Source organism: Homo sapiens, chromosome 3 (assembly GCF_000001405.40).
Source record: "Homo sapiens chromosome 3, GRCh38.p14 Primary Assembly".
Classification (NCBI taxonomy): domain Eukaryota; kingdom Metazoa; phylum Chordata; class Mammalia; order Primates; family Hominidae; genus Homo; species Homo sapiens.
Window position 1 is genome coordinate 106,709,800 of NC_000003.12, and position 23,754 is coordinate 106,733,553.

Below are 23,754 nucleotides of genomic sequence, written 5' to 3' on the forward strand. Positions count from 1 at the left end.
AGCAATTGTCCTGCCTCAGCCTTCCGAGTAGCTGGGACTACAGGCGCCCGCCGCGGCGGCGGCTAATTTTTTTGTATTTTTAGTAGAGACGGGGTTTCACCATGTTGGCCAGGATAGTCTTGATCTCCTGACCTCATGATTCACCCGCCTCAGCCTCCCAAAGTGCTGGGATTACAGGCATGAGCCACCGTGCCCGGCCAGAAGCGCTACAGATTTTAAGGAGAGGGGGTGGGTAGTCATTGTTTCATAGAACAATTTGTCTAGAACCGACCCTTGAAAATGAATGGGATTCAGACTTGCAGAGAAAAAAAAAAATTTAGGTGTGGGTAATTGTGTGAATAAAGGAAGGTAGACTCTATAAGGCACATTATAGAGGATTACAGGGGATCGGTTTAGGAACATTGAACAGATCCATCTGGCTAAAATAGACCTTAAGAGAAAAAAATTTCCATGATATTTCCATGGAAAACTGTTGGACTCTAGGTCATTTTAGACTATAGGGACATTCTAGCCCATAGGGACTTCTAATACAAGTCTAAGGAAAAAGTACCTTATGTTATGGGAAGAGGTAAAATCTTAAAAGGTTTTTATTTTAGGTGTTAATGCATAGAATGCTGTATAAAAATTAATCTAGGTATGAGAAGTAATATGGGATTGTGAGATGCCTAATACTAATACCTAAAATTTAATCAGCACTTACTGCATAATAGGCACTGTGCTAGAAGACCAACATGGATAGGTTCATCTTTATATATCCTTAAAGACTTATATTATAATTATCCCCTTTTACAGGGGAGAACATAAAGCTAAGATAGATTCAAATTTTTTCCAAAGATCCCCAAGGTAGCCCATTTCTGAGCTGGAATTTAAATATAGGCAATAAGTCTTTATGTCAGAGTTCTGGAGTCAAAGAAGGGAGTTAATAAGTTATTAGAAGTAGTCTTTTGTGACAAATTGCTCCACTGTGTAGCCACAGTATAAATAAAGAGGAATGAAAGGGTATTAAAGACAATGTGGAGGAAAGATTAGTTCAAATTGCGCTGTGAAAGTGCAACACATTAAAGGAATAGAATTTTTTAAGTTGAGGATGTATTAGCACCGCATGCATTTCTTTGTCAAAACTTGCTTCCGCCTTTTCCTGCATTACATGGTCATGCTAGCAATAGCCAGTTATCCTAGATTGGTTTGAAAGAAAATTCAAAATGAAAACAATTTGCAGATATCTAAGAATAAGCTGATTTTGTCAGATTGCTCTGTTGGTAATGGTTTGGTTTTGCATGAATAATTTCTTTCCAATACGTATTCGGTAGAAATATACAAACCAGTTTTGCAAATAGGCCCCTTAAGAAAATGTTAGCATTGTCCTCACCTATTTTTCCTAAAGTCACCTTTCCATCTGATTGTTTTTCTTCAGTTTCTTTTGGAGTAAACACAAAGGTAGTAAGGAAAAACTGCTCAGGTAAATTTTTGTAATTTCATCTTAAACAGATTCCTATGGAAAAGTAACAATAACAATGAGCTAATTATCTAATTTTTGTCAAGTGGTTAAAGCAATTATGAAGGAAATACTGTGTGTTATTGTTGAAGTCTGATGAGTGTTACTTTATAAAGTGTCAATTAAATAAGATGAAGTAATCACCCTTTTAAGTCATCCACAATCCTGTTATCTTTGATAAAAGCAGATGCCAAAGAGTGTGTCTCTGAGACAGAGAGAACCAACATAATTATCTGAACTTAAATGTCCCTTGAAACTATGTCTGTCTCCACTTTGAATAAAACTCCTCAATGGCGGAACACTAATAAATTCTCAATAAATATTTGTTGATACAAGAAAGCATTTCAAAAGTACCTTTTTTCTAGCATCCATATAAGTAAGAAGCATTCACACTTGAGCTGCTGAGATTTAGGAATATCTCTGGTGGCTTTATTTTGCTTTTCTAACCAATGACAAATTTTGGCTACATGACTTCAGAGCTCTTTTCTATCAATTGTCTATGACTTTAACATTTCTGCTAGATTAGATATTCCCTTAGATAAAATAACACTGAGAGAAAGATTAATGGTTGTGGTTTTCTTTTCTCTAGCTTGTCATGCTTCAGTTATGTCCCCTTTAGTCTGTGGCTTAATAAGATGTTGCTTTCAGTTTAGTTGAAACTACAAGCACCATGTTGAAAGAATTTTAGCACTTTCTTCTCCTTGTTAATATTGTAACTGCCCCCCAAAACAGATCTATATAGTGAACAGAAACGTCTGAGTGGATTTCATCAATGACAAGAAAACAATAAATTATATTATTTTGACATCTATGACCAGTGCACAATATTTTGTATTAGAGAATTGTATTATGTCTAAGGAAGGCATTGTGAACCAGAGATGAAATGACAGGCTTTAAATTGGATCTTTTGCTTTGGAGAATTTAATGAAAAACTTCTAGAATGAGAGAGAGTTAAAGAAAGAATATTTCATCAAAAACATATTTCTATAACAATTATTTTTTCTGTAACCACTTTGCTATTATCTTAAATATGCATACTTAATTCAAAGCTTTTCCTTCATTTCATCAAAAATGTTGTCATGATGAAATTGAAACTTCAGATCCTTTTATTACTGAGTTATTTCAATATACTTCAGTGAGAAATATAATTTATTGGAGGTCTCACTACTACTACCATGCCACGAGTATCTATCAATGTTAAGGAATCGTGAGATTTCGTTCTTAGAATATGATCATTCTTAGCTGCATTTTTGGTCTATAAAGTAGATTATAGGGGGAAAGAATGCCATTAAGCCTCCTCTCACAAAAGCAAACACAGAAAAACAACAGCTGCAAAACCCCTGGAAGTACACATATTCCTATATTGGATCTTAAAATCCACTTTCCCTGATGAAGGCGAAATAAATGGGATTTCTGCTTTCTAATAAACTAATTCAGTGGATATTTACTTATTTTTCCAAAAACTGTGCTAGACTCTAAAACAGTGGTGTCCAATAGAACTTTCTGCAATGATGAAACTGTTCTAAATCTTCACTATCCCATATGGTAGTCACTAGCCACATGTGGCCATGGAGGACTTGAAGTGTAATCAGTATGACTGAGAAACTGAATTTATAATTTAACTTTAGTTTTAATTAATTTGAATATAAATTTACATAGCTACATGTGGAATATATTGGGCAATTAGGTTATAGAGATATACCTCTGAGAGGGATCAATGAGGGAAAGCTTAAAGACAATTAAAAAACAATTAATAGATAAAATAGCAAAGAAGAAGGACGTCAAGTATTTGAGAGCGCCTCCTTTCCAATGTTACTATTATAAATGAAGTGAAAGTTATTGGCAGTGATAAGTACCCAAATCTTAGTGATAATACAAGCAGCAATACTTTCATTTGAATACTTCTAACTAGTATTACTTGTGATACACAATTGACCTGTGAACAACATAGGAGGTATGGGTGCCAAACCTCACTGCAAGTGAAAATTCACATATAACTTTCACACCACAAAAACTTCACCACTAATAGCCTACTATTGCCCAAAAGCCTTACAGATGACACAAACTGTTGATTAATACATATTTTGTATTTTATATGTATTATATAGCACATTCTACAATAAGGTAAGCTAGAGAAAAGAAAACATTGTAAAGAAAACCATAAGGAAGAGAAACTACATTTACTATTCATCAAGTGGATGTGGTTCATTATAAAGGTCTTCATCTTTGTTGTCTTCACATTGAACAGGCTGAGGAGGAGGAAGAGTAGAGTTTGGTCTTGCTGTCTGAGGGATGGCAAAGGCAGAAGAGGTGGAGGAGGTGGAAGGGAGGCAAAAGAGCAGGCACACTCGGTGTAACTTTACGGAAATACGTCATAATTTCTGATGTTTTGTGTTTTTCATTTCTCTGCATTTAAAATGTTTCTATACAGTACCAATTCTTCCACCATTTACTTTTTTCTGCACCCATGGGTGCATGAAGGGTCCCTGTCATAAAAAAATCAAAAGCAGGCTTAAATAATCAGAACTGTTCTGCCAGGTTGTCTGATGTCAGTTAGTTTTCTTGCATTGCTGCTTCTTCATTTTTCTCATTGTCTAGCACTGGTTTTGAAGTACTCATCTCCACCAAGTTGTCTTCTGCTAATTCCTCTGGTGTGGTCTCTATTAGCTCTCGAATGTCCCCAACATCTGTATCTTGAACCCCTTCACTGCTCACTATTTTGCCATATCCACAGTCTTTTTCATGATTTCCTTGATTGGCTGTACGCAAATCCTGTCAAGTCATGCACAAAATCTGGACACAGTTTTCTCCAGCAGGAAGCTGTTTTGGGCCTGATGGCTTTCCAGGCTTTTTCTATAACAATGACAGCATCTTCAATAGGATAATTCTTCCCAACTTTCATGATTTTCTCTCTATTGAGGTTCTCTTTTGTAGAACTGGCAATCCTTTCCATAGGATATCATGTTTAATGAGCCTTGAAAGTCCTTATAACCTCTGATCTAGAGGCAGAATCAAAGACATTGTGTTGGGTGGCAAGTAGACCACTTCAATGCCTATGTTGTTGAATTCATGTGGTTCTGGGTGGTCAGGGGCATTGTCCAATGTACAAAAAAAAAAAACCTTTAAAGGGCAGTTCCTTATTGGCAAGGTACTTTCTGGATTCAGGGATGAAGCACAGATAGAGCAAATCCAGAAAAAGGGCTTTGTTGTCCAGGCCTTCTTGTTGTACAATAAAAAGCCTGGCAGCCAGTGTTTATCTTTTCCCTTTAAGCCTCATGGGCTAGCAGCTTTATAGATAAAGGCAGGCTTATCATAAAACCAACTGCATTTACACAAAACAGTAGTTAGCCTATCCCTCCCTGCCTTAATTCTTGAGCTCACATCTCTTTCTTACTAATAAGTGCACTTTGTAGATTTTTTTTTCCAGATTAGGATAGTTTTATCTGTACTAAAAACCTCTTCAGGAAAATATCCTTCCTTCTCCATGTTATTCTTAATTGCATCTGGGAACTCACTTGCTGCCTCTTCATCAGCAGATGCTGCTTCTCCTGCTACCTTGACATTTTAAAAGCAAAATCTCTTTCTAAAATTATCAAACCTTCCTTTGCTGCCATTAAATTATTCAGCTTTAGATTTTTCACTTCTCTTTTCATTTAAGTTGTCATATAATGTTAGGTTTTTCTCAAATCCTAGCAGAATCTATCAGTATGCTTTTTCTACGCAATCTTGTACTTACGTGAAATCTGCAATTATAATAGAAGATAAAAAATTATTTTTCAAAAAGTGCAAAGGTTTTGCTCCTGCTAGCATAGCTGCAGCAATGGATTCACAAATTTTCTTTTCTTAAATAATGGTCCTTAAGCTGGATTTATTTATATTGAAATGGCAGCCAAACACAGCTGCAGACCTCAATCCATAGTATGTATCAAGCAATTTGACTTTTTCTTGTAATGTCATGACTTTTGTCTCCTTCTTCAGAGAACTTCCAGCATCACTAGTAGCAAGACGTATGGATCCCATGGTATTATTCAAGGTTTACAGCATTGCACTAAACATGATGAAAATGGAGAACTACAAGAGATCACTTTTTACAGCCATACACAATTTACTGGAAAGATGAACTTCTCACATGCAGATGATTAGCTTCACACAGCATTTTAAGTGAATATTTGTGATATGGTTTGGCTGTGTGCCCACCCAAAATAATGTGTGTCATGGGAAGGACCTTGAGGGAGGTAATTGAATAATGGAGATGGATTTTTCCTATGCTGTTCTCATGATAGTGAATAAGTCTCACTAGATCTGGTGGTTTTATAAAGAGCAATGCCCCTACACACACACTCTTGCCTGCCGCCACTTAAGACATACCTTTGCTTCTCTTTTACCTTCCGCCATGATTGTGAGACCTCCCCAGCCATGCAGAACTGTGAGCCCATTAAACCTCTTTTCCTTTTCTTTCTTTTTTTTTTTCTTTTTTTTTTGAGACGGAGTTTCACTCTGCTGCCCAGGCTCGAGTGCAGTGGCACGATCTCGGCTCCCAGCAACCTCCACCTCCCAGGTGCAAGTGATTCTCATGCCTCAGCCTCCCGAGCAGCTAGGGTTACAGGCGCCCACCATGACACCTGGCTAATTTTTTTGTATTTTTACTAGAGATGGGGTTTTACCATGTTGGCCAGGCTGGTCTTGAACTCCTGACCTCAGGTGACCCACCTGCCTCGGCCTCCCATAGTGCTGAGATTACAGGCATGAGCCACCACACCCAGCCTAAACCTCTTTTTCTTTCTAAATTACCCAGTCTCAGGTATTTCTTCATAACAGTATGAAAATGGACTATACAATTTGCAACACTGGAGCTCACCAAGATAGCAACAGTATATGGCTACAAAAGTATGACAGTAATACACTGTGTATGGCAGCTCATTTTATGCAGCTATGATTTAATATTGCATATTTACATTTGCTTACATTTCTCTCTACTTGGTCCTTAAGTGTTTGTGTGCATAAGTTTTAATAAATATTAACTTTCTATAATTGATTTGTATATATTTTTATGGTAGTAAGTGATACAATAGGCTAGTACCTACATATATTTTATGCATTTGTGAAGTGCATTTTTCCTAAATTTTTTCAATATTTCTAGGATATGCAGTTCATCTGTGTTCGTAAATTGTCATAAATCTCCAAAATATTTTCTAATACATTTATTTCTTAAAATCTGCGTATAACCCATGCACTTCAAACCCATGTTCAAGGATTAACTGTATATGTACATACCTGTAAGAAACGTATTAAAATGTATCAGAAGGTGCTCCCCATGAGAAATCTGCTCCTCAGCATCTTTAAAAAACAATCTGACAGGTTTGGTCACCATCTAGTTTTGGCAATATGAGTGGCATCACCAGGGATAGGAGGGAAGTTAATTTTAGGTCAACATAAAGAAGATATTTCTAATGATTATGCTATTTTTAAATGGTATTATAATTTCCTCAGCTCACTAAATTGTTAAAGCAGAGATTAAATGATAAATTTGAGGAATAGTTTAGGATGATGCATGTATCATGAAAAAAACAGGTTAGAAATTGAGCAAATCTATGCTTTTTACCCACTTACGGCTTAGTTGCCTCTTACATAAAAATGATCATAGTAAGGTTATCGAAAGGCAGAGGACTACAACATTCATTTTAAGAACCATGACTCTTTGACCTCCTCTGGTCAATGAATTCGTCTCATGAATTACCATGAATTAAACTTAGTTTACTTTTTCAACTGATGTTAATGATACCACATTCCATGGTTGTTATAGATTAAATGAAGTACTAACACTTCATTTGAAAATGAAAACTGAAACTATTAAACTAAAGCTAAGTAGAAAGCCCTTAGCCCTTCATTGTAATTTTTTTCATCATTTAATAACACAAACTCACTAAATAAATTGATTTTTGAAAATAAAAATAATAAATAGGTTATTTTAATTTTTATATCCCTTCACACCTTACCTGCTTGTAGCCTCCAGCTATACATAATCTTCATAGCTGTTTGTATTGTTGTTACTGTTGTTCAGGTTAGTTCTTATTCCAGAGAAGGACAGAGGGCTGGAAGGAAGGAAGGAAGGAAGGAAGGAAGGAAGGAAGGAAGTGAACTTGCTAATGTTCAAGTAATAATGTGGTTTAGAAAATACAAACGTCAAATTTGCCTTTAATGGTATAAGAGGAAATAATTAAACCAAAGTGTCTGATCATCTTTGTAGGATTTCTGAAATCTTACAACAATAGAAAGCCACATTTTGTGTGTAGATCATTGTATTTATGTCACCTCATTTTACCTTACATCATTTTATTTCTCACTTCAGGTTATTTGCAGTGCACTATATTTCAAAGTGGAAAATCAGCTTTATCAAATGGAAGAAGTAACTGAGCTTATCCAAGATACTGATTTGGCTGCAATAGGCTTTATTTTAGAGCTATCTGGGGAGAAGATGGTGTGATTGTATAAGGATGGTCTGGCTTTTCAGGAAATGAAAATTTATAAAGAAAGAGAAGTGTGATTATCTAATTAGGAAAAAAAAAGGAGCAAGCTGAGAAGGAAAATCAGAAACCTGGGTAGCAATAAATAAGGGATCATCTAAGTAAAATGGTCTAATAGTAGATATTTCAAATGCATTAAGGCAAAACATTGAAGGAAGACAGTAAATTTAGTTTATTTGGATGGTACTGAAATTCAAAGGCATGCAGGGACATGGTGACAAATATGTCAATAGCTAAACAACAGTCTTAACATCAAGGAAATTTACCTATTTTTCTTCAATTGAACTTAAATGTGGGTAACGGTTTTCTTGCACTTGCATTATTTTCTTTGAGAGAGGATCAGGAAAAACTGCCTAACTAAACTGAACAGAATTTGGTTAGTATTACTTTCTCCTTCAATTAATTAAAAAAAGCAGTTCTGGATATTCAAGAAAATTAAAATATTTGGTTTATTTTAAATATTTTGGGGTAGTTTTCAAACAAATTGAAATAATGCTGATGCATTTAAATAGTTTTTTTATTTCATCCTATCAATATTCCATGAGGTAAACAGGGTAAATACTACTGTCACTATTTCATTTTAAAGAGAAGGCACAATTATGATAAACAAATGAGGTAATGATAAATGTTCATAATTACAAATTGAATCAGCAACAAAAACATTCTTTTATTATTTTAAAAAGGAGAAAAATATAGTTTTCGTAACCTATACCTTCAAATCCTACTTTCTAACATTCTCTAAGAAATGTATGCTTCCTGCCAAAGAACTCAGATATCATTTGACACAAATATTTATTAATATTTACGAAATTCAAACAAACAAACATAAAAAGAAACATAGAGGCAGGGAAATTATTTTATTTTTTCCCTTCCCGGTATTCTCCACTTTCTTTCTTTCTTCGGTTTTTTTGTTTTATTGTTTTTCCCCTGCTAAGGGAAATTGCGGGGAAAGGGTGAGTGTATATGTGTGTGTGCCTCTGTGTGTTGTGTGTGTGTGTGTGTTTGTGTGTGTGTCTTCCTTAGGTTAATAAAACCAAACCAGATAGATAAATAGATTTCTGTTATTCACAGTACTGCTAAGTCAAAATTCACATTTTCATCAGGTTGCAGGAAACTTAATAGACCATGACCTGTAATAAATAACAAAATAAGATGAAGAGGCTTTAATAATTATATGTTCATTTTTAGAGAGGCAGCCAAGGCTGTTTTCATGGTAAGGCATTACTAAATGTCACTATTCGTCTTTCTGTCCTAATTATCTGTAAATTTGTATTTGAAAAGCCTCAATTATCTAATGAAATTATTTGGAAATTATTCATTGAAATAAATAGTTTTCCAAAAAGCACTCTGGTTTTCCCTTTCATAACTGTCAGTGGAAATCTGTTCTTCACCAAGGTTTAATGTACATCAATGAATAGCACTGGAGACAATTCTTCACCCTTTGGGCAATTTTTCATAGCAGAGGGCAGTACTGTTTGAATTTAAATGATGTTGCACTCAAGGCCAATGGTAATGAGCTAGCTCTCAACTAGACATTCATTAGATATTTTTATCATCTGAATATAACCATAAGTACTTCATGCTAGCTACCACAGCCTTCATATGAATTATAAATATAATATTTAAGTTTCTTTTTAGAGGAGAAACTGTATTTCTGCTGTGAATGCAGAAGCAGATAGAGTTAAATAATATGATCTGTTTACCAAAAGTGCCTGCCATCAGAAGAAAGCAAAATGTTTGCAAAATGAGAATTGGCATGACAACTTGCTGTTTTAAGAAAAATCGTTGTCTACACTATGAGATGCATTTCTGAATACAGAATTAACCTATTAGCCCAATCTCAAATAAAGCTTCCAACTGAATGCCCAATTACTCACTCAAGAGACCACCTCCAAAATCATCGGGGCAAAGGTTTCTTTAAATAGACCAGCCTGAAGGTCAGCAGTGGAGGTCTATGATGCAATAAGGGAAAAAAGAAATGCACAGAGAATTCAAAGCACTCTCATTATTTTCCTAACTTAAAACAACAACAAAGAAACTTTTTAGTCTACAATTAACCACACATCTACCCCAGTAGATTTTAACTCCACCAGTGGGATTGTATGGAGACCATGTTTACTACCAGGAGAATGTACTCACCCTAAGACAGTACAGTAAGTCCAGGGTAAATAAATCTCCCATGCTAAGGTATCCTCCCCTGAATTTCGGTGATTGTCCAGGTGTTGATATCACTAATTGCTTTATGCACATGACCTATTGTTCTCTGTGCTAGCTAAATTTTTAGTAGAGGAAAAAGCTGGTGATGCATCTAATTTTAGTAATGAAAGCCCTGACTATGCCCTCTGCTCACCTGCTGCATATATGCATAAATGTGTCATTGCAAAAAATGTATTTAAGTAAAGGTTATCAGCCTTTAAGAATTGTAATGAGACCACCAGGTAAAGAAAAAGTCACAACTTCTATGCTATGCAAAGTTCCCCTTTTTGGAGGCCCCGTCCTAAATCATTTCTGCTCTATAAAGACTTTCACAGTACTGCTGTTTTCTGTACTTTGAAAATATTCCTCAGATTCCCCAAGCTTCCATTTTTTCCTAATAAACTTCAACCCACCTGGCTTCGTGTTGTTTCATAGTAAATCAAATCCTGAGGGAAATATGAAAATTAATTTTAAAAGAGGTGTAAACCTCAGTGAAATAATAATCTACAGGAGTTCCATTCTGTCACAAATTGGCATTCAGGCCAGAAGACTGATGCAGGATTTTTTGGTGCTGCTTTGCCAGCCAGAGATCTCCATGGCCTGACACACCCCTGCCCGGGGCCTCTCTCAGCCCTGGGATCACTGCAGGAGGCACCCCTCCCACTCGGCCCAGTGGTGGGAGCTCCTAGCTTGCACTTTGGCCTGGATCCCGCGCTCGCTGTGGGATCCGTGCTCAGCCTGCAGCTGGGCCAAGCGTACTGCAACCTGCCTCCACCTTGGGTGCTGGCATCTGGATGAGAGGAACATGGTGGCATTGAACAGGTATGCCAGCCGCAAAAGTGTTATTACAGCATGCTAAGAGCTCTTTTAGTCCCACTGCCCGTAGCCTAACAAACGGGTGTGTTAACAGTCTTTTCAGTCCCATTGCCCCACTCGAGGCTGTGGCTCTGGGGCTGGCCTGGCCCCACCACTGGGGTCACGTGGGTTGGCCACTGGGTGGGTGCCAGCAGAGGGCAGAGGGCCACAGAATTACAGCTTTTCTGTACCCGCATTCGGCAGGTCCCAAGTTCCTGTCCCATGTCTAAGAAGAATGAGGTTACGCTGACAACTGAAGGGTGAGCAGGACAGAGTTTTATTGAGCGACAGCTCTCACCAGAGAGGGGACCCAGAGAGGGCAGCCCCCACCCAAAGTCATGTAGCTTCAGTCCAAAGGTGGGGCAGTCCCCAAAGTGTGCCTGAGTTCTGGGCTTTTATGGGCTTAGAATGGGGGAGTGCATGCTGATTGGTTTGTGAGTATGCAAAAAAGCTCAAAACAAAAGAGCCACTCAAAGGTGGGCATGACAGTCTAAAAAAACAATTAAGGTCTTGGTGTGGTGGCTCACGCCTGTAACCCCAGCACTTTGGGAGGCTGAGGTGGGCGGATCACACAGTCAGGAGATCAAGAATATCCTGGCTAACACAGTAAAACCCCATCTCTGCTAAAAATTCAAAAAAAATTTAGCCAGGCGTGGTGGTGGGTGCCTGTAGTCCCAGCTACTTGAGAGGCTGAGGGAGGAGAATGGCGTGAACCTGGGAGGCAGAGCTTGCAGTGAGCCGAGATCGTGCCACTGCACTCCAGCCTGGGTGACAGAGTGAGACTCTGTCTCATAAAATAAAATAAAATAAAAGTAAAAAATAAAAAAACAATTAGGGAAGAGTAGGTATATGTAAAATAGGTGAAAGGTGAGGATCAATCAGAGGAAAGCACGCCAAATGTGAAGACAGTTTCTCAACCCTCTCTTTAAGTCCATGGATTTATCTAAGACTTGTAGCTTGGTTTTCAGGCTTCAGGCTCTCTTTGGTTTGAAGGCTGGATTTCACCAGGCACCTGTCCCATCTGCCTAGGCGTTTGCCTCCTGCTGCTATCAAGATCAAAAGATCATGAGCAAATGGATAGTTCCCCACATACAGATTACCTAATCATCTACACATTGAAAATATCAGAAAATTGATACTATCCTTGCAAGCTCTTGATGAGTTATATAGTTAAAACTTTGATCTCAAGGATCAAATTGTTCAAATTTTGACTTTGCTATGTGTGGGTTAGATGACACTGGACAGATTATTTAACCTATGTCTCAACTACTTGTATCCAAAATGAAGATAACAATAGTGTCTATTCCAAATGGCAATGAGGGTCATGAAATGATTCCAGCTGACTAGTTGTAACAGGGACCATAAGGCCCACAAAGCACTTAGCACTGTTAGCATGCATTAAGTGTTTATTTTTATAAAAATTGTTGTTATATTGTGAACTAGACAAGATGCAGATATTCTAATCAATTTCTTTGATTATTTCCTCCAGATACCACTTCCTTGGAGTTCAATCTTCTTAACTGCTTTATTTTAACTAATTAATCAATGTTAGGCATGATCCAGTTTTAGCAAAGTCCATAGATATAAATCATGGGACATTTATGTTCTAGCCTAGAGTTTGCTAATGTTTTTTCTGTCACTAGACGGATAGTAAATATTTTAGGCTTTGAGAGTCAAATAATCTCTGTTGTAACTAATCAATTATGCCATTGTAGGGCAAAGTAGCCATAGATGATACAGATGACACAAAAATGAATAAATGTGGCTATAGTCTAATAAAATTCCATAAAAATTTATGGAATCTGAAATTCCAATTTTATATTATTTTCATGTCACAAAACATTATTCATCTTTTGATTTTTTTGCCAAAATTTAAAGTAAGAAACATACTTAGCTTGCTGGCTACACACACAAAGCAGGTGAGATGTATTTGACTCTGAGGCTACAGTTTATCTAATTCAGTTTTAACCCATTATTTGTGTTAACACTTTACCTGACATATCTTGTATTTCAAGAAAAAAAATATATAAATTCTTTCAAAATTACTGACTGTTTAGTAGTCAAATTAATAAAAATGCCATAGTGATTGCCTAGTATTGTGTGGTGATATTAACATTCCTAAGAGTTACCAATGTTAAATATTCAAAACACAATTTGGCATATTCCTTAATTTTATTTTCCCTGAAAAGCAGAAATAAAGTAAAAAGCACTTTACACATCGGTACTGTGACTGCCCAGTCTGGTGTAGAGAACGTGAACCTACCTGATCGATTAAATGAAATATCACCTCTGGATTTCAAGTGAACTCTAGAACTGATGCTAGATAATTGGAAAAATAAAAACATCTGTCCAGAAGGGGGAACTTGATCTTGACCCAGAAAGGGTAAAGAACTGGATACGGATAATCTAATAATATATTTCAGCTTTGATTTCCAACATTACCTGCTTGATTAATTATGTGGCTTCATTTGAGGATGTGGAATATTTGATGTTGAAAAATTAACAAGGGAGAGGGAAGAAAATGAAGACACCAGGGAGAAAAGGAAGGAAGTACGATAAATGTAAATTGGGCCTATATAAATTTATATTTAGAGATTCCAGAGGCTGACAGTCATTGATCATTCAAGAATTTAATCTCTGCCATATTAATTTTGAGGAGATACAAGTTTTGAGTATAGATTAGTTGATTACAAGAACATGCATAGTTCCCTAAAGCAGGTGTTAGCAAATTACAGCTCAGGAGCCAAATTCACTTTCATCCTGTTTTGGTAAACATAGTTTGATCAGAATACAGTCATACTTATTTATTTATGTATTAACTATGACTGTTTTTGTGCTACAATGACAGAATTGACTAGATCTGACAGAAATCCTATGACCCACAAAGCTTAGAATATCTGGATCTTTACAGAAAACGTTTGCAGACCCCTGCCCTAAAACCTTACTACTGTAAGTGTGGTCTGGAGGGAATAGCTTATGCACCACAAGAAAGATTATTAGAAATGCAAAATCTTGGGCTCCACTTCAAGCCTCTTCAATCAGAATCCGTACTTTAACCAGCTTGTCAAATGACGTAATGACACACACACGATCGAGTAGTACCATCTTAAAATAATTTCTTTTTGTTTACAAATACATAGAACATGGGTTCATAAGCGGACATAATGTTTGCCATTTTCTGGCATATATTTGTGAGGTGATATGGTTTGGCTGTGTCCCCACCCAAATCTTATCTTGAATTATAATTCCCGTAATCTCCCCGTATTGAGCAAGGGACCCAGTGGTCAGTGATTGAATCATGGATGTGGTTTCCCCCATGATGTTCTTGTGATAGTGAGTTCTCACCAGATCTGATGGTTTTATATGTGTTTGACAATTCCTCCTTCACACACACTCTCTACTGCTACCTTGCGAAGAAAGTACCTGCTTCCCCTTTGCCTTCTGCCATGATTGTAAGTTTCCTGAGTTCTTCCCAGCCATGTGGAACTGTGAGTCAATTAAACCTCTTTCCTTTAAAAATTACCCCATTTTAGGCAGTTCTTTATAGCAGTATGAAAATGGACTAATACATGAAGATTAGACCCTAATATTTTCTATGAGTTTTAAATCTTGGTCTTCATAAAAATTACTTTCCATAGTCCACAACCCAAACTTCTTTTTATTTTTTTGAGCTGGAGTCTCACTCTGTCACCTAGGCTGGAGTTCAGTGGCACGATCCTGGCTCACTGCAACCTCTGTCTCCTAGACTCAAGTGATTCTCCTGCCTCAGCTTCCCCAGTAGCTGGGATTACAGGCATGCACCACCATGTCTAGCTAATTTTTGTATTTTTAGCAGAGACAAGGTTTCACCATGTTGGCCAGGCTGGTCTCAAACTCCTGACTTCAGGTGATCTGCCCACCTCAGCCTTCCAAAGTGCTGGGATTACAAGCGTCAGCCACTGCGCCCAGCTCACAATCCAAACTTTTTATGTGGAGATTGTGTTGAGAGGTCAAAATGAAGGTTGAAATATCTATAGGAACAGAACATTCTGAAAATACATAAGTTAGAATCTCTGTGAGTGTTGGAAGAAGGTGTTCTTTAAATTGCCAACAGGCAATGAATGTACTAAAACTAGTGGTGGTTCACATTCAGAAACTGTCTAATTGAAACACTATTAAGCTACAATAATAATATTTTAAAAAACTGTTTATAGTTTTATAGTTGAATCAGTCTGAAGAGTTTCTTTATTCTCTTAATCAGAGAGAACTTGCATCTCATCAGCATAGGTACATGTTTAAAATGGAAAATACAGAAATATGCTTATTGGATGATGGAAGTATAGCTCTATTTAATAGATATTTCATATTTAGTATTTTATTATTAAGCTTAGTTCAGTATAAGTGCACATTTTCAATGTCATGAATACATGGCATGAATGATGTGAGAAGCAATTTGCATTTATATAGCACCTTTCAAAGGCTTAGGATAGCAAAGCAAAGCATAAATGCTTGTGTAACTCTGCAATTAAGAATTCACTTCTAATTACTCCTACTTAAATGTGCAGTCTCTTTTTAATCACAACATTTTTACACCTGTGGTTAAGTGCTCTGACAGAGCCTTAACCTTATCTCTAAAGCATGCAAATTGCATGACTGGATTTTGTAATGAAGGCTTAGTTTGCCAGTGGGGAAATGATCACAGACATGTAACACCAATAACAATATTAAAGACATAGCTAAATTTAAAAGTATCATTCTCTTGTATTATCTACTCATCCAGACCAAAACACACACACGGTAATGACTGTCCAGCTCCGGAGCATGCTTAAGATTCAGGCCCAGATGTACTTCTGCAGGAAGTTAAGAGATGAGATCTGTAAACCATGTTGTAAACGTGTGCTTGCCTGTAGTAAATCTTTAGCTACTGGAGCTACAATTGCTAACATGTGAGATTCCTAGTTCTCTTGTATAACCAAGGGACTAGTAAATAACATGGTGTTAAAAAAAATTGATATCCTACTACTAGGGGAAAGCACAATTCAGCTGCAACATATGGTTCTGGAAAGCTGCAGCCTTGTAAATGGAGCTGAGGAAAGAAAAGCAATTCTGGAAAGGTGGTTGTACCTAAAGAGAAGGCCCTGGTTACAGCCATCTACATAACTGACTGCAGTAAAGCTTGAAGCCCCATTTTCAAAAGCTGATTAGAATGAAGATTTATTGGGAACCTATGGTGATCTGGGGACCAGTGTAACACAAATAGACAAGGTTTTGTTCCCAAACCTTGAAAGGCTGCCAATATACAGCAGAATTGGGTATACGTAGAAGCAAACAAATTTCAAAAATCCATAGTCAATTGTGAAGAATTAGAAGTCAGAAGTTCTTGGATTTTTGTAAAGTATTTAATTGTGTGAAAAATAACTTTGAAATAGATCATCCATTTCAAAATCAGATACTGAGCCAGTCCGAAACAGCAAGTATTGTGTGCATCTCCAGTGATCAAAATAATAACAATAACAGCAATAACAATAATAATAATCAAGTAGGTGTGTACTTTCTGTACTCAGTACAGTACAGTACTTTCTGTACTCAGGAAGGTCATAGGATAGAGAAAAAGGGAGGAATAAGTAAACATAGTGATGTGTGCTTCCATAAAGCTTTTGCAGTGTGCTATGAGAGCAAACAGGAGATATTTAATTCTGTTCGCCTTTGGAAAAACTTCAGAGAGGCAAGGCAATTTCAAATACCAGTAGGATTCTGCCAGCCATAATATTGGTGAAGGAGGAGTGAATATCAAAGAGTAAGAACATTCTAATATGAGTATTCACACAAATTCTTTATGTGACCCTTGACTTTGACCCTTGACATTGCAGTTCTAGCATATTAATTAGGAGTACAACCTCAAAAGTCAAATTGTCTCTATTTACTTCTAACTGTGTTACTCTGAACAAATTACTTAACCTGCCTGAGTCTCAGTTTCTTTATCTATAATGGGGAAAGATAAAATATGCTTTAGAGAAATGTTGTGAGGACTTAACAATATTTAATGTAAAATAACTAGCATTTTGATGCACAACTAATATTCAGTAAATGTTAGCTGCTGTTTTTCTTTTTTTTTTTTTTAACTTTTGTTTCCTTTTAAGTAATGTTCCTTTTAAGTAATTTCCAATACATGGTGAAAGAAGCAGCAAAACAAAGCCTCCTTTGCTTTAGGAAGTCTGCCTGTTTCTAGCATTAGGAGCAAAAGGTAGTGGTGCTGCCGTTGGAGATAAATAAAATATAATATCAACCACCATCTTTAAACCCGCTTTATTTCCCACTCACATTTTTCATTATACATATCTAGTCTTTACAATAATCATATGAAGCAGGTAATGTTACTATTATTCCCATTTTACAAATGAGGAAACTAAAGCTTAAAGAGAACAATTCTCAAGTTAAAAGAGCCATTTTATGAAGTCATTATTAAAATTTGGGTGTTCTAGCCAACACCTAAATGTTCATTAAGAACACCTAAATTTTAAGGGTGCCAGTTCTTAATCACTTTTTTGAAATGTTCTTAGATAGACTTTGGTCCAAAATAATCATTCTTCACGAACTGAAGCATAAGGGGAACCTGGCTTCTGTGTCCAGCAGGGTGGGTGGTCTAGGAATTATGAAAGACTCCCCTAACTAAAATTCTAAAATACTCAGAAAAAAACATATTTTTAATGACACGGGAGAGTTTACAAAAAGTCAAGAATTATGTGAAAGCAGAAATTCTGGGAGATAAATGATCAACAATACCAATTTTCAACAAGGAAATCTCTATTGAATCTTGGAGACTTGGAGATACCATAGTAATGGTCAAATGGTGTAGGGGAAAAATGCTAAAGCCTAAAGCTAACCAAACCTGGGTGACTTAATAGATGACTTCCACACACAACTAAGACCTTCAAAGGTAATCAGAAAAGAAGTGAGAGGAGCCCACGTGCCATGGCTATGATATCTCTCCATAATCCACAGCACAAAGAGCCAGAATGGATGGAAAAAAACATCATGTTAGGATGGTAGTGAATTAAAGGCTGTTTTGCTAGTTTAACTTCATGCTGCCAACCAACGGAGCTGTAGATTCATGCAGTAGTGTTCCTTTATTTGCCTTCATCTAAAATTTTACTATATGAATACTAGATTGCAATTGTATGGAAAGTACCTTGGACTTCCAGTGTAGGCTTGTTGACTAAACGATAGTAATTTGGTAACAACAACAACAAAGTATCAGAAAGAAGAATCAGTCTCCAGTCTCACCTATCATTTCTCTGACCTATATTTGGAAATGCTCACTTGGACCCAATAATTTTGTTTCAGAACCGACATTCTTAATTCAAAGAAACTCTAGGAGTTAATATAAATTCTGAATCAAATTTGGGCTTTATGTTTCCTGAGTAGACAGCACCTTACCCTCACTGTAATGTTATCTCTCCATTTCATTTTTGTTAATTATATTGTACTTGAGTTTATGGCAGTTCCATTCTTCATATCCTTGTTCATAGCCCAAGTAGTCCAAATGTGTTGACTGAAGAATATCAGAGACATGAGTCAGAAAAATGTCTAAGGACAAAACAATTTGGAGGTAGACATGAATATTTCCACTAATGGAGATCAGCCAGGATGTCCACACAGAGTGACTAAGTACATGAAGGGAGATAGAGAAAGTAAGTAAGAGTTGGTCAGAAAATTCATGTTTTTCTTACAGACTAACAAGGCACAGACGTATCACTCGGGGAGTTAGAAACAATTACACATGACTCACGCCAAGCATTTTAAAGCCACAAAATTTTCACAAAAGTATTCTACTGTTTCTCTTTCCTTCTATTCATGCTCAAATATTCCCCCCTGCGTTTCACAAAAGTATTCTATTGTTTCTCTTTCCTTCTATTCACACTCAAATATTCCCCCCTGCGTGTCTACTCTTAAGCTGGCTGGTTATGGTAGGTTAGATTATTAAAGACTTTGAAAGCTAAGAAAAAGTGTTTATATATGAGACAGGCAAAAGACAGCCTTTGTAGATTTCTGAACAAAGGAATAGCATGAGGAATGTGGAACTAAGGGAACTTCAGAGTGGAAGGAATCTGTTAGATGAACTGGAATTCAAAATGGAAGTAAAAATTGTAATTCAGATCACATAGGGATTCTTAAATATTTTCTTATATCAAATAGATTGACTACTGGTTGTTATGAGGTAGAGATTTTGTGTTTAGTTCAATTTAACTAACACTGATATTGTGCTTTCTGTGGGTCTGAGTGTCTTGCTAGCAGTTTAAAACATGGAGACAGCCATTATTGAGCTTTGCTTTGGGTTTTATCAATTCAAAAACAAAATCAATAGACATATGTGTAGTTTTCTATGTATAACACCTTAGCCAAGAAATTTTGTAGAAATGTTTCATAAAACTTCTTTTCATCTGAAGTCGCTCAGATTCTCAGAATGGCAACTAGAAGGGTGAACAGAAAATAAATTGAGAGACAGTCAGATTATGAATCCACAGAAATTTACATGGCTAATAATTTTAAATTTTGAAGTCAGAAGGACATACATTGAACTTCTGGTTCTGTCATATTTTAGCTACAGAATTTTGCATTTCTCTTTGGTAAAATGGGGATAGTAAGGTGATTCACAAAAGGTTTTCTGGGTGCAGCAAACTAGAAACTTTTGTCAAAATTATCTAGAATAACATGTGGCCCAGAAAACTCTCAGTATGTATTCATTTACTTCCTTCCTCAATATTCAAAGAAAAGCTGGAAGCATAAATTGGAATTCCCAGACCTAATAGTCTTCCTTACAAGTTCACACATCAACAGCTGATCTAGCCACTATTTTATTTTCACCCACAGCCACCAGCTTCTTACATGCATAGACAATTCTCTTACTGTTTTGGCATGTTGCACAGCCCTTTGCTATTTTACAAATCACTTCGGTTCACCTAGAGCCAAACTTTTATCCACCTAAAGGATAAAAATCACTTTAAACAAAAAAAATAATATAAAACTGTATCTCCAGAGCCAGAGAGCCCAGACTAGTTGTCCACATTAATGCAAAGAGGAATCATTAAAGCTTACTGCAGGATAACATTGTAAGGAACCACTGCATATGTTCTTTTGCTTTATTCTGTTCTTGAAAATGGAATAAAATGAGACTTGCATTTAAAAAATCTCTCTCCATGTTAAAGTACCTTTCTGTGTTGTTATGTAGGTTTTTATAATATTAAATATTCTGTTTTTCCTCCCTTTTTTCTTATCTTTTCACCATGCATGCTGGCACATGGGTTCCAGTGTTTAGCAGACCTGATTCAAATCCTGTTTGGCCAACTGCTGTCTCCCCTGAGAGAGTTACCTCAGTTCTCTGAGGCTCAGTGTATTTATATGAAAATGGACAAAAATACGCTATGGCATAGTTGTGAAGATTAAGTGAGATAAAATATTAAAACATTTGCATAGTTGTCTGATATAGGTAAAAATGCTCAATAAATATTAGCAGCGATTCATAACTATTATTACCAGACATAGGGAATGGATGTAGTAACACCTATGTAAATTCACACAAAGTTTGAACTCCCTGCAGTTCTTTAAGGCATTATATTGATAGAACTCTGAGAATCTAAAGGTTCAAGTCCACTCAGAGTCCCGGAAATTTGGACCTAAAACTGAATATTTTACCTACGATTGAATGAATATTTAGACAAAAACTGAAAAGCCAGAGACATTATGATATATACATGGGAAAATACTGGTCAAGATAGTATAAAGAAAAGAGATATGAAGGCATAATCTTTAGTGGAAATAAACTGATTTGTTTCATGCACTCTTTAAAATATGTTATTCTGTACAGAATATAAGCAGTGTGATATCTGCTATAAAATGCTCACAGATATTTACAATCATACTTTCTAACTTATTGCAGAGCCAGCCAGTCTCAGGAAGGTGATAGGCCTGACACATACTGAGGTATGTTTCCTAAAATCCCCTCACAAAGAAAGATTTTAAAAATTGATACAGTTAAGGCATTTTTTATTAATAACAAAGATAACTTTCAGTGGAAAAGAGGGGCTTATCACCAAAACAAAAACTCCAGACTGAGGAGTTGGTGTAAAATCAGAAGTCTTGGGTTTTCAATTTTGTGTTTTCTGTTTATCTGGGCAACCTTAGACAAGTCACCCAACCTCTCTGAGCTTCAGTTCCTTCCCTGTCTTAACAGGTTACTGTGAGAAGCAGAATGAGATGATGAGGGTGAAAGGACTCTGTTAGTGTTTCTAACATCACTACTCCCTTGTATGCAATAAATACCTCCACCCAGTTACCATAGACATACATAAAGTGGCTTCTGCCCTATTCTAAGATTTCTTCTGATCCTCTTATTTTTAAATTTCTAGTATCTGCCCTTCTATATGGTCTTGCTTGACTTTGTACCTCTAATTCCCTGTTGTTTACCATGCCCCTATCTCATTCAACAGCAGACATCAAATGGCACACTACCAGGCTCAGACCCACAATCCCAGAAGAGATTGTGTTTAGAGGCTGACCTTTGGCTCCATCAACACTCTGCTAGCCAACACTTTGGCCGCAAGTTCACTCTGCTATCCACAGCTCTGGGGCACTTCTCTGGCTGTCTGTTAGTAACCACTAACCTAACCCAACCTCATTGGCCAGGTAAAAGCTATCGAAAATAAACTGAAAATTGCTATCTCTATATGTCCATGAGGTTTAATACAGGAAAGCTGATAGTCAAAAGTCAAGTTCAAATGCATTGGTCTCCACAGTGAAGAATGTCTTTAGCTGAATACAAGACTGGAGTCAACACCGACTGTCTCAGAGTTTTATCTCCCTTTCCTGCTGCAGTCTAAATCATTCCAGTTCACAGAACCCTCCACAGCACAGGGAATAGCATTTGGAATATACTTCTCCTGGGACTTAAGTCCTGACCCAAGGATATGTGCTCAAAAGGCACAGGTAGGAGGAGCGAGCAGCTTCCAGGTGGATTACTGATTCTTGAGAAGGAGCTCACATACTGGAAATGGTACAGATCATCCTGAGGACAGAATACTTGGCTGGATAACAGTGATACTGTCTATGCCACACTGCCTGTGGCTCATAAATTCCAGTAACATCAGGTTGGAAGGTAATGAAGAAAGCTCAGTTTAGCAAGAATATCCCTTCCAAAAGTATGTTAAAAGTCTCCGTTAAAAAAGAGGACATTAAAGATACAACTACAAAAGAGCACTCTGCATGCCTCCAGCGCTCTTCTTCAGGCTTGGATTGGGCATCCTCTTCAGGTAAAAGCAATCTTTCTCACCTCTCCAGGAAGTCCTGGGAACCACTAGAGTTACATCATGGACCCCAGCTAACCATTAACTTGTAAGATATTGATCAAGTCACTTCATCCTCTTGACTTCAGTTTGCCCTTTTGTAAAATGAAGAGTTTTCTTCGATCTAAACGTCTGTGATGATATTCAGCCTTAAGATAGCAATAAGAATTAAATTATTCTTTTCTTTCAAATTAATGATTTTATGTTTGGAGTGAATGAAGCTATTCTGCTGAAGAGAATTCAGCATCTCAGACTTTGAGTGCTCTGCAAAAGCATTTTATGGATCACTGACTCCCAAACTTTTCCCAAATCAGCATACTAAGAAATGAAACACACTCACATTAGTAGCAGTGGCTCACCATAGTATTCATGCATATGGGTTAGGTTGGTTAAGTATCAAATGTATGTGTAAGCTGAAATTCCCCAGGTAATTCCTATATGTTCTTTTCATGCTATATTGAGAATCACTCTCACAGACTGAATTTATTACAGAAACACATAGACTGCAAAAGTTTCAAAAGAAAAGAACTTCCAAGTGGCCAGTCTTTTACTGAAAGAATTAAAGATGAATCTATTCCAGGATGCTGACTTACATAGTTATTAGACAGCATCTGCACAGCAGACTAAGGTACAAATATAAATCCAAAGAAAGGAAAATGTGAATGTAGAAGGCTTTAATTGTTAAGCTTTGTTAGTTTTTTAATTAATTAGAAAGTTAATCATACTTGATTTAACAAATTCGTTAATACAGCAATGTGGGAGGAAAAAACTTAGCAGCCACCACCTATACTTTTCTTCAGTCCACTCTACCGAAGGTAATATTTACAGCATGGGATGTATATGTCTACATCATTCTCTATGTTCGCACAAGCATACGGATTTGGTTTCAACAAAAATTGGGTAATACCATTACATAGTTACCACTACTTGTTTTTGTGCTTTTAAATATCATGGCTTCCCTTTCTGGTTATTATATAGATAGTGATAGAGGTAAAGATGTAGGTACAGATAGAGAGGTAGAGAGAGATGAGAGAAACAGAGACAGTATAGAATATATTCATTAGTGAACTATTTCCTGATGGATATTCAGGCATTTTCAGCTTTATTTGTTAACATCAAAAATTACTGGCCAGGCAGGGTAGCTCAGCTCTGTAATCCCAGCCCTTTGGGAGGGTGAGGAAGGATAAATCACTCAAGCCCTGGAAACAGAGGTTGCAGTGAGCCATGACTGCACCACTGCACTCCAGCCTGGGTGACAAAGACAGACTCTGTCTCAAAAAGAAATTACTTAAAGAAATATCTTTATACATCTCCCTCATATCCTTACAAAAAGAAATTACTTAAATAAATATCTTTATATATCTCT

At 36.7% G+C, this 23,754-nt stretch overlaps 1 long non-coding RNA gene across 1 annotated transcript in view; it reads right to left on the minus strand.

Moving 5' to 3' along the window:
• Positions 1–23,754, minus strand: part of LOC105374029 (uncharacterized) — a 65,172-nt gene that overhangs the window by 24,237 nt on the left and 17,181 nt on the right. The window contains exon 2 of the long non-coding RNA XR_001740467.2: positions 6,770–7,587. This is a non-coding gene — a long non-coding RNA (uncharacterized LOC105374029). The remainder of the gene's footprint in view (positions 1–6,769; positions 7,588–23,754) is intronic.